General features: G+C 40.3%; 4 annotated features.

The window, feature by feature from the left end:
- Nucleotides 538-1,037: an enhancer, noted in NCBI's record as "H3K4me1 hESC enhancer chr14:56919899-56920398 (GRCh37/hg19 assembly coordinates)". NCBI's record gives its function as "activates a minimal SCP1, AML or CMV promoter by ChIP-STARR-seq in naive H9 embryonic stem cells {active_cell/tissue: H9 hESC(naive)}" and the evidence as "EXISTENCE:reporter gene assay evidence [ECO:0000049][PMID:30033119]".
- Nucleotides 1,038-1,539: an enhancer, noted in NCBI's record as "H3K4me1 hESC enhancer chr14:56919397-56919898 (GRCh37/hg19 assembly coordinates)". NCBI's record gives its function as "activates a minimal SCP1, AML or CMV promoter by ChIP-STARR-seq in naive H9 embryonic stem cells {active_cell/tissue: H9 hESC(naive)}" and the evidence as "EXISTENCE:reporter gene assay evidence [ECO:0000049][PMID:30033119]".
- Nucleotides 6,040-6,645: an enhancer, noted in NCBI's record as "H3K27ac-H3K4me1 hESC enhancer chr14:56914291-56914896 (GRCh37/hg19 assembly coordinates)". NCBI's record gives its function as "activates a minimal SCP1, AML or CMV promoter by ChIP-STARR-seq in naive H9 embryonic stem cells {active_cell/tissue: H9 hESC(naive)}" and the evidence as "EXISTENCE:reporter gene assay evidence [ECO:0000049][PMID:30033119]".
- Nucleotides 6,646-7,251: an enhancer, noted in NCBI's record as "NANOG-H3K27ac-H3K4me1 hESC enhancer chr14:56913685-56914290 (GRCh37/hg19 assembly coordinates)". NCBI's record gives its function as "activates a minimal SCP1, AML or CMV promoter by ChIP-STARR-seq in naive H9 embryonic stem cells {active_cell/tissue: H9 hESC(naive)}" and the evidence as "EXISTENCE:reporter gene assay evidence [ECO:0000049][PMID:30033119]".

The raw sequence follows: 15,245 nt of genomic DNA, 5'->3' as shown, positions 1-15,245 counted from the left end.
TTACAGATGAGAAAACTAAGGCACACAGAGGTTACGTAATTAGGAGATGTTGCAGGTCACTCAGCCTCTAAATTGGATCTAAGATATAGATGCCATAGCTCTTTGAAAAGTTAAAAGCAACAGACATGGGCCAAGGGACATAATGACAATCTGGATGGTGACAATGGTGATAATGCTTGGTCAGTACAGACACACATATCCAAGTAAGAACCAGAGCAAGAGGGGTAGACAAAAGCCAGTCCAAGTTCTCTGGGGGCATTATACTTATGTAATTTGGGGTCCCACTTTAAGAAAAAGTTCAAAATTACATACCAAAATGAATATTTATTTAGAGAGAGAAAAGAAATCACAAGTTAAAAATCTAAAATTGTGTCAAATGCAATAAACACTACAACATAATAAATCAACAGCCTGACACACCTCTCAAATTCTCTTTCCCATCTTATTGGCTGCATATTCTTTAATCACCTCTTCATAGATCAACAATCGTATAGTATCATCTGCTAAAGAGAGCCTAGAAAACAAATTTATTCTTTCCTCTAGTGCAGTAGATTAGAATGTGTTTGTAATATTAACAGCTTAACACTTTATTTCAGTTTTAAAATTTGTTACTAGAAATAGTGTGTGAATTTTAGGATGGATTTTGAGTTTGCGAAAACCCTGAATACACAGATCTTTTGTAATGAGCTGATGATTTCAGGGCATTTCCAGGTTTGCCATGTTGTGCCTGCTCTTTTGTACTCTTTGAATTAATAGCATTCATAAACCAGAGTCTAGGAAGGAACCCAAAGTTTGTAGCCCTCCAGCTTTCCAGCTCTGAGGGCACAGATCCCCAGGCTACCAGCCTCTGACCTCTAATGCCCAGGCCCCTCTGGCCTTCACTTCACAGCTCTGAAGGTTGCAGCTGTGTTTCTGGTAACAGAGTCTGCTGGTCCCCAAGAAGTTGCACCCAGCTCCCAAGAGCAGTTCAGGTTTCATCTCCCAGGTTGAAGACTGAAGTGCAGCGACACGATGGCCCTGTGATCCAGGCCAATGTTGGCAGTGCTGGCCATGGCGCTGGAAGGGTAGGAGGCCCAGGCAGGCCCTGGAGTTAAAGCCGTGATTTATTCCAGGAAGGAGGCCAGGGCTTGATGGGCAAAGACTGAGCCGAATATGCTAATGAGAAGACTTGCTAGACTGTGCATGAGCTGAAAGGCAGCTAGGCATTTCATCGTTCAAGTCAAACATCTGAGACATTCCAGCAGTCAAGACAAATCTTCAGTTGAACAACTTTCATTACAAGCCATGGAATGAGCAAAGTGGGGTTGGGAGAGAGCACTAGATTAGCAGTCAGGAGATCTGGGTTTCACTGCCTGTATTAGGCTGCAGCCAGCAAGCCATTTAATTCTCAGCCTGTAATTCCTCTCAGTAGATGGAAATGCTGAAATGGATCACCAGCTCAGTCCTTTTCAGGACCCTGGACTAGCCAGACAAGAGTGTGAATGGGAATCCCCACCCCTCATATCCTAACCACCTGAATAGGCAATTAGCTGAGAGGAAGCACAGTCCTTGCCACTTTTCCTAGGTTCATTGTAGAGCACCCTGAGAATTCCATGAGAGGGCACCATAAACTATTCTTTAAGAGTAGAATATTTTCTATTGCCATCCTGCAGTTTTAGAAGTTGTACAAAGTCATGAAAACCTTGGAGTCTGAAATGTCAAACAGAAAAGAGGAGGTATGGAAGAATTTACAAGCACCCTCTTCTAGTTTGAGGCTTGTGGAGTGTATTCTCAATCATGAAGGTGGAAATAAAATGTTTTCTAAATAGAGCTTTTAAATGTTTCCAAATGTTCTTCTCCTTCTCTCCTTTTTCTTTTTTCAAAATATTAATGTGTCATATAAAAATGCTCGTCACTTCCTAAGTTGTGTTTATTTAAGCATCTTAAAATAACTTGTAGGCTTTTCTAGCTAGAATATTAGTAAATAAGCTCTTAAGCTACTGCTTCTCCAATCAGTAAAAAAAATGTTTTAATGATGCATAGTGGTGTGACATAAAAAGTTAGAATATACACCCCAGATGCAGTTAAGAAATTTCTAAAATTTAGTCACTGGTGTACAAATCTGTTCAGGGAACACTTTGACTTTCAAGAACAGCATCACGAGTGCTCTGGTGTCAATTGGTTTTAAAAATGAGTGTGCAGCACTTCTTTTTTTCTGACCAATAATTTTTCTTGTTTTAAAAATCATTATTGTTATCTCTGATAATAAAGAAACAGATGGCCATAATAAAGATTACAAAGTGTATGCCGTAAAACCATGAAAGTTCTGATAATCCCAGAGATAAACACTGCTTGGTTTATATTCATCCAGATATTTTTTCAAAGCATGCTATTACAGATCTTCACAGTATACATAAATTGAAATAAGAACATACATAATGCTATTTTCACATTGCCTTTTTGTTTTCTTTAACTTGAATCTTAGTAATGGACATCTATCTATGTCAATGCATGTGCAGTTTCTTCTCTGTTTTACACTTACCCTAGTATCCTATTGTATGGCACTATCATGATTGTTTAATCTGCTTTTGATATACATTTGGGTTATTTCCAATGTTTCTAAATGGCAGCAGTAATGAGTAAAATACTTGTTTCATAATCTTTGTGCACATCTGCCAGTGTTTCTGCAAGAGAAATTACTAAAAGGGGAATTGCTGGGACAGGTACTATGCATCTCTTAATTTTGACACACACTGCCTGTCTTCTAAAAGAATCAAGCCAATTTATACCCCTACCATTATTACATAAATTAGCCTGCCTTTTCCTCTTACATTTTTGCAAACACTTGTACCCACTAACTTTTAAAGCTTTACCAATCTGATTAACAAAGAAAGATAACTTATTTAAATTTCTTACATCTGGATTTATTGTTACATAAGATATAAAGATATTATGGAAGTGATCACTAATAATAAACTTACAAATAAGTAAATAAATAAAGTAGTAATAAAAAATTTAGTTCAGTAGTTTTTAAAGATTTCTCTAAGTTTCTTAAGCTTTAAGTTTAGACATCGAAATAATAGACCATCAAATAACAGTACGGATTACCAACAGAGTGGTTTCATAATGGAAGCAGCATGCTTCTTCTCCAGTTTTCTGTGCTTAGGAAGTTGGATGTGTGAGTTCTGGTTCCTGTAAACTTCCTGACTTTTTACCCTTTCCCTCAGTCTCCCCAGCTCCCCAAATGAAGTCCATACATGAGTAGGCAGCTATAAAAATGATTTATGTATATAAATAGGTTGCTGTTACTTTCTTCTAAAGATTAAGTGGTCTAGCTTCAGTTCATAGGGCTTTCAGGAAAGCATGGCTTCATTTTTAGTGATTTCAATTTAGGAAAACTGTGGGGGTGGGGTAGGGAGGAAAGAAAGAAGGAAAAATTTGAAAACATTATTTTGGAGATTCGTAGCCAGAAAACAATTTATAATTCAGTCCAAATTATAGAAAATAATAAAAATTCAAAAACATTGGGCAACACTATAATCTAATAGCAGGTGTACTGTAGTTTATTCTGAAATATAATTTTTGTCTCTCCAATTCCCCAAGACAATATGATAGTAGGACCAATTTATTTGTAAAATAAATTTTAGTCTTATTATACTTGGCTTGATTATTTGCATAAAAGGCAGCAAGAATAATCATTTGCCATACGGTCTTTTCTTTTTAAAGAAAATTTAGCTTTGCTGAAATGTTTTCTATAAGGAATATAATATTATACATTTTTTTAAAGTCTCAAGCCCAGCCAAGAATATATCTGTGCCTGCAGATATCTGTATAAATTGGGTGAATTCTTCTCCTTTTGAGATTTCAAGAAAACTTGGGGTTCCTCGACATGTCAGAAGGTGACATTCTTTATTTACCACAGGTCAGGACCCTGTAAAGGTCAAGGTATAAGGCCAGTTTTCCCAAGCGGCTCTTATCAGCTGTATATTTTTATAAGGCAATCTGAAAATACATCATTCTAGCCAAAGCCTTGGTAAAATAACCAGTGTCTCTAGTTATGTCATGTTATAAAAGAAAACAAATTCTTATTGAGCTTATGTGAAGAACTGTGTGACCATAAATTAAGAATACTTACAAATAGCTTCCAAATTTTGGAAAAATTAGGTAGAGGGAAAGGAATTATATTTTAAATTTTGCTCATTAGAGTATACTTTACGCAATTGTTAAAAGCTATAAACAGCTTAAAGGAAGTTTCCCTGACTGTGAAAAACAAAACAAAAAGAATCAGAAAATGTTTTAAACAAAAAGTCATAAAAGATTATGTCAGTCTTCTATTAGTTCAGTCCATGCAATTAACTCCTGTTCTGCTTATTCAGCAAACCTCATGAATATATCAGTACTCCATGAGAATCCTGGAAGTTTTTCTATTTTAATAGCACAATCTCTAAATTTATCAGAAACTTATATAATCTTAGAGTTGATTATAATCCACTATATAAAAGGATCAAAGTAAAATAACAATTGTGGGTGACAAAAGGCTTAGACCAGCCATGATTAAAGACGCAACTAATGAGGGTACAAGGGATCATGGTGGACAGGAGGCAGGACTAGATTGCAGCTCTGGACAGAGCAGCATGCGGAGGCTTGCATTATGAATTTTTAGCTCCAGATCAAGTGCAAGAACAAACCAGCAATGCGGAGAGGACCCACAGACCCTCTGAAGGAAGTGCATTGCTCATGCATGACCCAGGAGACACCCCAAATACTGAGTGCCCCAGCTGCGGAAGTGGGAAAGGGAGACACTCCTCTCCCGAATACACACCCCCACTGGAGAAGGTGAAGGTCTGTTTGCAGGAGAAGTTTCTGACTTTACCTGGAGCTGAGTCAAGTTAGAGAGCTGAGTGAAATACAGGGGTAGAGGAAGCAGCAGAAAGGCCCTGGGAGCTCACTGGGTCCCTGAGCAGCCCATTCCTTCCAGGCACCACAGGGATCCATCAGGAGGGTGGCCAGAGGAGCAGGGGGTAAAACTCCACAGGGAGAAGGAATTCTCTAGCTGAACTTTGTAGCAATTTGAATGAGGCAAGAAGCCTCCTGGGTAGAACTTGGGGGTCGAATCAGGCATGCACACTTCAGAGGCAGAGGAAGAACTAAAGCACTTTTCTCTCACAGCTGGGAGGCAGAGAGCCTCAGGCAAGTTTTCGAGCCTATTGCCCACTGCCTGGAAACAGACTTGGGGCTACTGGGGGAGGCATGGTGGGAGTAAGACCGGCCCTTCAGTTTGCATGGGAGCTGGGTGAGGCCTGTGACTGCTGGCTTTCCTCTACTTTCCTGACAACCTGCATGACTTAGAAGAGGCAGCCATAATCCTCCTAGGTACACAACTCCAGTGACCTGGGAATCTTACTTCCATCCCCTATAGCAGCCACAGCAAGACCCGCCCAGGGAGAGTCTGAGCTCAGACATGCCTAGCCCCACCCCCACCTGATGATCCTTCCATATCTGCACTTGTAGTGGAAGACAAAGGGCATATAATCTTGGGGGTTCTAGGGCCCCACCCTCTGCCAATCCCTCACCACACTACTACAGCTGATGCTTTCTGGAAAGTGCCACCTCCTGGCAGAAGGCCAACCAGCACAAAAATAGAGCATTAAACCACCAAAGCTAAGGACCCTCATGGAGTCCATTGCACCCTCCACCACTTCCAGCAGAACAGGCGCTGGTATCCATGACTGAGAGACCCACAGATGGTTCACATCATAGGACTCTGTGCAGTCAACCCCCAGTACCAGCCTGGAGCTGGGCAGACTTGCTGGGTTGGCTGGACCAAGAAGCGAGACAACAATCATTGCAGTTTGGCTCACAGGAAGCCACATCCATAGAGAAAGGGGGAGAGTACTACATCAAGGGAACACCCCGTGGGACAAAAGAATCTGAACAACAGCCCTCAGCCCTAGACCTTCCCTCTGACAGAGCCTACCCAAATGAGAAGGAACAAGAAAAGCAACCCTGATAATATGACAAAACAAGGCTCTTCAACATCCCCCAAAAATCACACTAGTTCACCAGCAATGGATCCAAACAAGAAGAAATCCCTGACTTATCTGAAAAAGAATTCAGGAGGTTAGTTATTAAGCTCATCAGGGAGGGACCAGAGAAAGGCAAAGCCCAATGCAAGGAAATCCAAAAATTGATATAAAAAGTGAAGGGAAAAATATTCATGGAAATAGATAGCTTAAAGAAAAAACAATAAAAAATTCAGGAAACTTTGGACACACTTTTAGAAATGTGAAATGCTCTGGAAAGTCTCAGCAATAGAATTGAACAAGTAGAAGAAAGAAATTTAGAGCTCGAAGACAAGGTCTTCAAATTAACCCAATCCAACAAAGACAAAGAAAAAAGAATAACAAAATAGGAACGGAGCTCCGGTCTACAGCTCCCAGCGTGAGCGACGCAGAAGACGGGTGATTTCTGCATTTCCATCTGAGGTACCGGGTTCATCTCACTAGGGAGTGCCAGACAGTGGGCGCAGGCCAGTGGGTGTGCGCACCGTGCGCGAGCCGAAGCAGGGCGAGGCATTGCCTCACCTGGGAAGCGCAAGGGGTCAGGGAGTTCCCTTTCCGAGTCAAAGAAAGGGGTGACGGACGCACCTGGAAAATCGGGTCACTCCCACCCGAATACTGCGCTTTTCAGACCGGCTTAAAAAACGGCGCACCACGAGACTATATCCCACACCTGGCTCGGAGGGTCCTACGCCCACGGAATCTCGCTGATTGCTAGCACAGCAGTCTGAGATCAAACTGCAAGGCGGCAGCGAGGCTGGGGGAAGGCAGCCCGCCATTGCCCAGGCTTGCTAAGGTAAACAAAGCAGCCGGGAAGCTCGAACTGGGTGGAGCCCACCACAGCTCAAGGAGGCCTGCCTGCCTCTGTAGGCTCCACCTCTGGGGGCAGGGCACAGACAAACAAAAAGACAGCAGTAACCTCTGCAGACTTAAATGTCCCTGTCTGACAGCTTTGAAGAGAGCAGTGGTTCTCCCAGCACGCAGCTGGAGATCTGAGAACAGGCAGACTACCTCCTCAAGTGGGTCCCTGACCCCTGACCCCCGAGCAGCCTAACTGGGAGGCACCCCCCAGCAGGGGCACACTGACACCTCACACGGCAGGGTATTCCAACAGACCTGCAGCTGAGGGTCCTGTCTGTTAGAAGGAAAACTAACAAACAGAAAGGACATCCACACCAAAAACCCATCTGTACATCACCATCATCAAAGACCAAAAGTAGATAAAACCACAAAGATGGGGAAAAAACAGAACAGAAAAACTGGAAACTCTAAAACGCAGAGCGCCTCTCCTCCTCCAAAGGAACGCAGTTCCTCACCAGCAACGGAACAAAGCTGGATGGAGAATGACTTTGACGAGCTGAGAGAAGAAGGTTTCAGACGATCAAATTACTCTGAGCTACGGGAGGACATTCAAACCAAAGGCAAAGAAGTTGAAAACTTTGAAAAAAATTTAGAAGAATGTATAACTAGAATAATCAATACAGAGAAGTGCTTAAAGGAGCTGATGGAGCTGAAAACCAAGGCTTGAGAACTACGTGAAGAATGCAGAAGCCTCAGGAGCCGATGCGATCAACTGGAAGAAAGGGTATCAGCAATGGAAGATGAAATGAATGAAATGAAGCGAGAAGGGAAGTTTAGAGAAAATAGAATAAAAAGAAATGAGCAAAGCCTCCAAGAAATATGGGACTATGTGAAAAGACCAAATCTACGTCTGATTGGTGTACCTGAAAGTGATAGGGAGAATGGAACCAAGTTGGAAAACACTCTGCAGGATATTATCCAGGAGAACTTCCCCAATCTAGCAAGGCAGGCCAACGTTCAGATTCAGGAAATACAGAAAACGCCACAAAGATACTCCTCGAGAAGAGCAACTCCAAGACACGTAATTGTCAGATTCACCAAAGTTGAAATGAAGGAAAAAATGTTAAGGGCAGCCAGAGAGAAAGGTCGGGTTACCCTCAAAGGGAAGCCCATCAGACTAACAGCGGATCTCTTGGCAGAAACCCTACAAGCCAGAAGAGAGTGGGGGCCAATATTCAACATTCTTAAAGAAAAGAATTTTCAACCCAGAATTTCATATCCAGCCAAACTAAGCTTCATAAGTGAAGGAGAAATAAAATCCTTTACAGACAAGCAAATGCTGAGAGATTTTGTCACCACCAGGCCTGCCCTAAAAGAGCTCCTGAAGGAAGCGCTAAACATGGAAAGGAACAACCGGTACCAGCCGCTGCAAAATCATGCCAAAATGTAAAGACCATCGAGACTAGGAAGAAACTGCATCAACTAACGAGCAAAATCACCAGCTAACATCATAATGACAGGATCAAATTCACACATAACAATATTAACTTTAAATGTAAATGGACTAAATTCTCCAATTAAAAGACACAGACTGGCAAGTTGGATAAAGAGTCAAGACCCATCAGTGTGCTGTATTCAGGAAACCCATCTCACGTGCAGAGACACACATAGGCTGAAAATAAAAGGATGGAGGAAGATCTACCAAGCAAATGGAAAACAAAAAAAGGCAGGGGTTACAATCCTAGTCTCTGATAAAACAGACTTTAAACCAACAAAGATCAAAAGAGACAAAGAAGGCCATTACATAATGGTAAAGGGATCAATTCAACAAGAGGAGCTAACTATCCTAAATATATATGCACCCAATACAGGAGCACCCAGATTCATAAAGCAAGTCCTGAGTGACCTACAAGGAGACTTAGACTCCCACACATTAATAATGGGAGACTTTAACACCCCACTGTCAACATTAGACAGATCAACGAGACAGAAAGTCAACAAGGATACCCAGGAATTGAACTCAGCTCTGCACCAAGCGGACCTAATAGACATCTACAGAACTCTCCACCCCAATTCAACAGAATATATGTTTTTTTCAGCACCACACCACACCTATTCCAAAATTGACCACATAGTTGGAAGTAAAGCTCTCCTCAGCAAATGTAAAAGAACAGAAATTATAACAAACTATCTCTCAGACCACAGTGCAATCAAACTAGAACTCAGGATTAAGAATCTCACTCAAAGCCGCTCAACTACATGGAAACTGAACAACCTGCTCCTGAATGACTACTGGGTACATAACGAAATGAAGGCAGAAATAAAGATGTTCTTTGAAACCAACGAGAACAAAGACACCACATACCAGAATCTCTGGGACGTATTCAAAGCAGTGTGTAGAGGGAAATTTATAGCACTAAATGCCTACGAGAGAAAGCAGGAAAGATCCAAAATTGACACCCTAACATCACAATTAAAAGAACTAGAAAAGCGAGAGCAAACACATTCAAAAGCTAGCAGAAGGCAAGAAATAACTAAAATCAGAGCAGAACTGAAGGAAATAGAGACACAAAAAACCCTTCAAAAAATCAATGAATCCAGGAGCTGGTTTTTTGAAAGGATCAACAAAATTGATAGACCACTAGCAAGACTAATAAAGAAAAAAAGAGAGGAGAATCAAATAGACACAATAAAAAATGATAAAGGGGATATCACCACCGATCCCACAGAAATACAAACTACCATCAGAGAATACTACAAACACCTCTACGCAAATAAACTAGAAAATCTAGAAGAAATGGATACATTCCTTGACACATACACTCTCCCAAGACTAAACCAGGAAGAAGTTGAATCTCTGAATAGACCAATAACAGGCGCTGAAATTGTGGCAATAATCAATAGTTTACCAACCAAAAAGAGTCCAGGACCAGATGGATTCACAGCCAAATTCTACCAGAGGTACAAGGAGGAACTGGTACCATTCCTTCTGAAACTATTCCAATCAATAGAAAAAGAGGGAATACTCCCTAACTCATTTTATGAGGCCAGCATCATTCTGATACCAAAGCCGGGCAGAGACACAACCAAAAAAGAGAATTTTAGACCAATATCCTTGATGAACATTGATGCAAAAATCCTCAATAAAATACTGGTAAACCGAATCCAGCAGCACATCAAAAAGCTTATCCACCATGATCAAGTGGGCTTCATCCCTGGGATGCAAGGCTGGTTCAATATACGCAAATCAATAAATGTAATCCAGCATATAAACAGAGCCAAAGACAAAAACCACATGATTATCTCAATAGATGCAGAAAAAGCCTTTGACAAAATTCAACAACCCTTCATGCTAAAAACTCTCAATCAATTAGGTATTGATGGGACGTATTTCAAAATAATAAGAGCTATCTATGACAAACCCACAGCCAATATCATACTGAATGGGCAAAAACTGGAAGCATTCCCTTTGAAAACTGGCACAAGACAGGGATGCCCTCTCTCACCGCTCCTATTCAACATAGTGTTGGAAGTTCTGGCCAGGGCAATCAGGCAGGAGAAGGAAATAAAGGGTATTCAATTAGGAAAAGAGGAAGTCAAATTGTCCCTGTTTGCAGACGACATGATTGTTTATCTAGAAAACCCCATCATCTCAGCCCAAAATCTCCTTAAGCTGATAAGCAACTTCAGCAAAGTCTCAGGATACAAAATCAATGTACAAAAATCACAAGCATTCTTATACACCAACAACAGACAAACAGAGAGCCAAATCATGAGTGAACTCCCATTCACAATTGCTTCAAAGAGAATAAAATACCTAGGAATCCAACTTACAAGGGATGTGAAGGACCTCTTCAAGGAGAACTACAAACCACTGCTCAAGGAAATAAAAGAGGATACAAACAAATGGAAGAACATTCCATGCTCATGGGTAGGAAGAATCAATTGCGTGAAAATGGCCATACTGCCCAAGGTAATTTACAGATTCAATGCCATCCCCATCAAGCTACCAATGACTTTCTTCACAGAATTGGAAAAAACTACTTTAAAGTTCATATGGAACCAAAAAAGAGCCCGCATCGCCAAGTCAATCCTAAGCCAAAAGAACAAAGCTGGAGGCATCACACTACCTGACTTCAAACTATACTACAAGGCTACAGTAACCAAAACAGCATGGTACTGGTACCAAAACAGAGATATAGATCAATGGAACAGAACAGAGCCCTCAGAAATAACGCCACATACCTACAACTATCTGATCTTTGACAAACCTGAGAAAAACAAGCAATGGGGAAAGGATTCCCTATTTAATAAATGGTGCTGGGAAAACTGGCTAGCCATATGGAGAAAGCTGAAACTGGATCCCTTCCTTACACCTTATACAAAATCAATTCAAGATGGATTAAAGATTTAAACGTTAGACCTAAAACCATAAAAACCCTAGAAGAAAACCTAGGCATTACCATTCAGGACATAGGCGTGGGCAAGGACTTCATCTCCAAAACACCAAAAGCAATGGCAACAAAAGCCAAAATTGACAAATGGGATCTAATTAAACTAAAGAGCTTCTGCACAGCAAAAGAAACTACCATCAGAGTGAACAGGCAACCTACAACATGGGAGAAAATTTTCACAACCTACTCATCTGACAAAGGGCTAATATCCAGAATCTACAATGAACTCAAACAAATTTACAAGGAAAAAACAAACAACCCCATCAAAAAGTGGGCGAAGGACATGAACAGACACTTCTCAAAAGAAGACATTTATGCAGCCAAAAAATACATGAAAAAATGCTCATCATCACTGGCCATCAGAGAAATGCAAATCAAAACCACTATGAGATACCATCTCACACCAGTTAGAATGGCAATCATTAAAAAGTCAGGAAACAACAGGTGCTGGAGAGGATGTGGAGAAATAGGAACACTTTTACACTGTTGGTGGGACTGTAAACTAGTTCAACCATTGTGGAAGTCAGTGTGGCGATTCCTCAGGGATCTAGAACTAGAAATACCATTTGACCCAGCCATCCCATTACTGGGTATATACCCAAATGACTATAAATCATGCTGCTATAAAGACACATGCACACGTATGTTTATTGCGGCATTATTCACAATAGCAAAGACTTGGAACCAACCCAAATGTCCAACAATGATAGACTGGATTAAGAAAATGTGGCACATATACACCATGGAATACTATGCAGCCATAAAAAAAAGATGAGTTCATGTCCTTTGTAGGGACATGGATGAAATTGGAAACCATCATTCTCAGTAAACTATCGCAAGAACAAAAAACCAAACACCGCATATTCTCACTCATAGGTGGGAATTGAACAATGAGATCACATGGTCACAGGAAGGGGAATATCACACTCTGGGGACTGTGGTGGGGTGGGGGGAGGGGGGGAGGGGTAGCATTGGGAGATATACCTAATGCTAGATGACGAGTTAGTGGGTGCAGCGCACCAGCATGGCACATGTATACATATGTAACTAACCTGCACAATGTGCACATGTACCCTAAAACTTAAAGTATAATTAAAAAAAAAAAAAAAAAAGAAAATAGGAACAAAGCCTCCAAGAAGTCTGGGATTATGTTAAATGACAAAACCTACGAATAATTGGTGTACCTGAGGAAGAAGAGAATTCTAAAAGCCTGGAAAACATATTTGGGGGAATAATCAAGGAAAACTTCTCTGGCCATTAAGGACACCTAGACATCCAAATACAAGAAGCACAAAGAACACCTGGGAAATTCATCACAAAAAATATCTTCACCTAGGCAGATTGTCATCAGGTTGCCCAAAGTCAAGACAAAGGAAAGAATGTTAAGAGCTGTGAGACAGAAGCACCAGGTAACCTACAAAGGAAAATCTGTCAGATTAACAGCAGATTTCTCAGCAGAAACCCTACAAGTTAAAAGGGACTGGGGACCTATCTTCAGCCTCCTCAAACAAAACAATTATCAGCCAACAATTTTGTATCCAGTGAAACTAAGCATCATAGATGAAGGAAAGATACAGTCATTTTCAGACAAAGAAATGCTGACAGAATTCGTCATTACCAAGGCACCACTACAAGAACTGCTAAAAGAAGCTCCAAATCTTGAAACAAATCCTGGGAACACATCAAAACAGGACCTCTTTAAAGCAAAAATCACACAGGATCTGTAAAACAAAAATACAAGTTAAAAAGCAAACACAAAACAACAAAAACAACAACAACAGACACAAAGTACACAGGCAACAAAGAGCATGATGAAAGCAATGGCACCTCACATTTCAATATTAACGTTGAATGTAAATGGCCTAAATGCTCCACTTAAAAGATACAGAACTGTAGAATGAGTAAGAAGTCACCAACTAACTATCTGCTGCCTTCAGGAGACTCACGTGACATGTAAGGACTCACATAAACTTAAAGTAAAGGGGTGGAAAAAGGCATTTCATGGAAATGGACAGCAAAAGCAAGCAGGGGTAGCTATTCTTATATCAGACAAAACAAACTTTAAAGCAACAGTGGTTAAAAGAGACAAAGAGGGACAGCATATAATAGTAAAAGGCCTTGTTCAACAGGAAAATATCACAATCCTAAATATATATGCACTCAATGCAAGAGCTCCCAAATTTATAAAACAATTACTAATAGTCCTAAGAAATGAGATAGATAGCAACATAATAATAGTGGAGAACTTCAATACTCCACACTGACAGCACTAGACAGGTCATAAAGACAGAAAGTCAACAAAGAAACAATGGATTTCAACTATACCTTGGAACAAATGGACTTAGCAGATATATACAGAACATTTCATCCAACAACTGCAGAATACACATTCTATTCGACAGCTCATGGAACGCTCCAAGATAGACCATATGATAGGCCGTAAAATGAGCCTCAATAAATTTAAGAAAATTGAAATTATACCAAGTACTCTCTCAGACCACAGTGGAATAAAACTGGAAATCAACTCCAAAACGAACCTTCAAAACCAGGCAAATACATGGAAATCAAATAACCTGCTCCTGAATGAGTATTGGGTCAAAAAGAAAATCAAAATGGAAATTAAAAAACTTTTTGAACTGAATGACAATAATGACACAACCTATCAAAACCTCTGGGCTACATCAAAGGCGGTCCTAAGAGGAAAGTTCATAGCCCTAAACGCCTAAATCAAAAAGTCTGAAAGAGCACAGACAATATAAGGTCATGTGTCAAGGAACTAGAGAAACAAGAATAAACCAAACCCAAACCCAGCAGAAGAAAGGAAATAACCAAGATCAGAGCATAATGAAATGAAATTGAAACAAAAAAATACAAGAGATAAATGAAACAAAAAGCTAGTTCCTTGAAAAGATAAATAAAACTGATGGACCATTGGCAAGATTAACCAGGAAAAAAAGAGAGCAAATCGAAATACCCTCATTAAGAAATGAAACAGGGGATATTAGAACTGACACCACTGAAATACAAAAGATCATTCAAGGCTACTATGAACACTTTTACACACAAACTGGAAAATCTAGAAGAGATGGATAAATTCCTGGAAAAATACAACCCTCCTAGCTTAAATCAGGAAGAATTAGATACCCTGAACAGACCAATAAGAAGCAGTGAGATTGAAATGGTAATTAAAAAATTACCAACAAAAAAAGTCCCGGACCAGATGGATTCACAGCAGAATTCGACCAGACATTCAAAGAAGAATTGGTACTAATCCTCTTGACACTATTCCACAAGATAGAGAAAGAAGAACCCCTCCATAATTCATTCTATGAAGCCAGCATCACCCTAATACCAAAATCAGGAAAGGACATAACCAAAAAGGAAAACTACAGACTGATATCCTTGACAAACATAGATGCTAAAATCCTTAACAAAATACTAGCTAACTGAATTCAACAACATATCAAAAGGATAAGCCACCTCGATCGAGTGGGTTTCATACCAGGGATGCAGGGATGATTTAACATACATGAGTCAATAAATGTGATACACCACATAAACAGGAATAAAAACAAAAATCACATGATCATCTTAATAGATGCAGAAAAAGCATTAGACAAAATCCAGCATTGCTTTATGATTAAAACTCTCGGTAAAATCGGCATTCAAGGGACATACCTTAATGTAATAAAAGCCATCTATGACAAACCCACAGCCAACATAATGCCGAATGGGGAAAAGTTGAAAGCATTCCCTCTGAGAACTGGAACAGGACAAGGATGCCCATTCTCACCACTCTTCTTCAGCATGGTACTGGAAGTCCTAGCCAGACTGATCAGACCAGAGAAAGAAATAAGGGCATCCAAATTGGTAAAGAGGAAGTCAAACTGTCACTGTTTGCTGACAATATGATTGTTTATCTTGAAACCCTAAAGACTCCCCTAGAAAGCTC

Source organism: Homo sapiens, chromosome 14 (assembly GCF_000001405.40).
Source record: "Homo sapiens chromosome 14, GRCh38.p14 Primary Assembly".
Classification (NCBI taxonomy): domain Eukaryota; kingdom Metazoa; phylum Chordata; class Mammalia; order Primates; family Hominidae; genus Homo; species Homo sapiens.
Note: the sequence above shows the minus strand (reverse complement) of the source record. Positions and strands in the feature narration are given on the sequence as shown.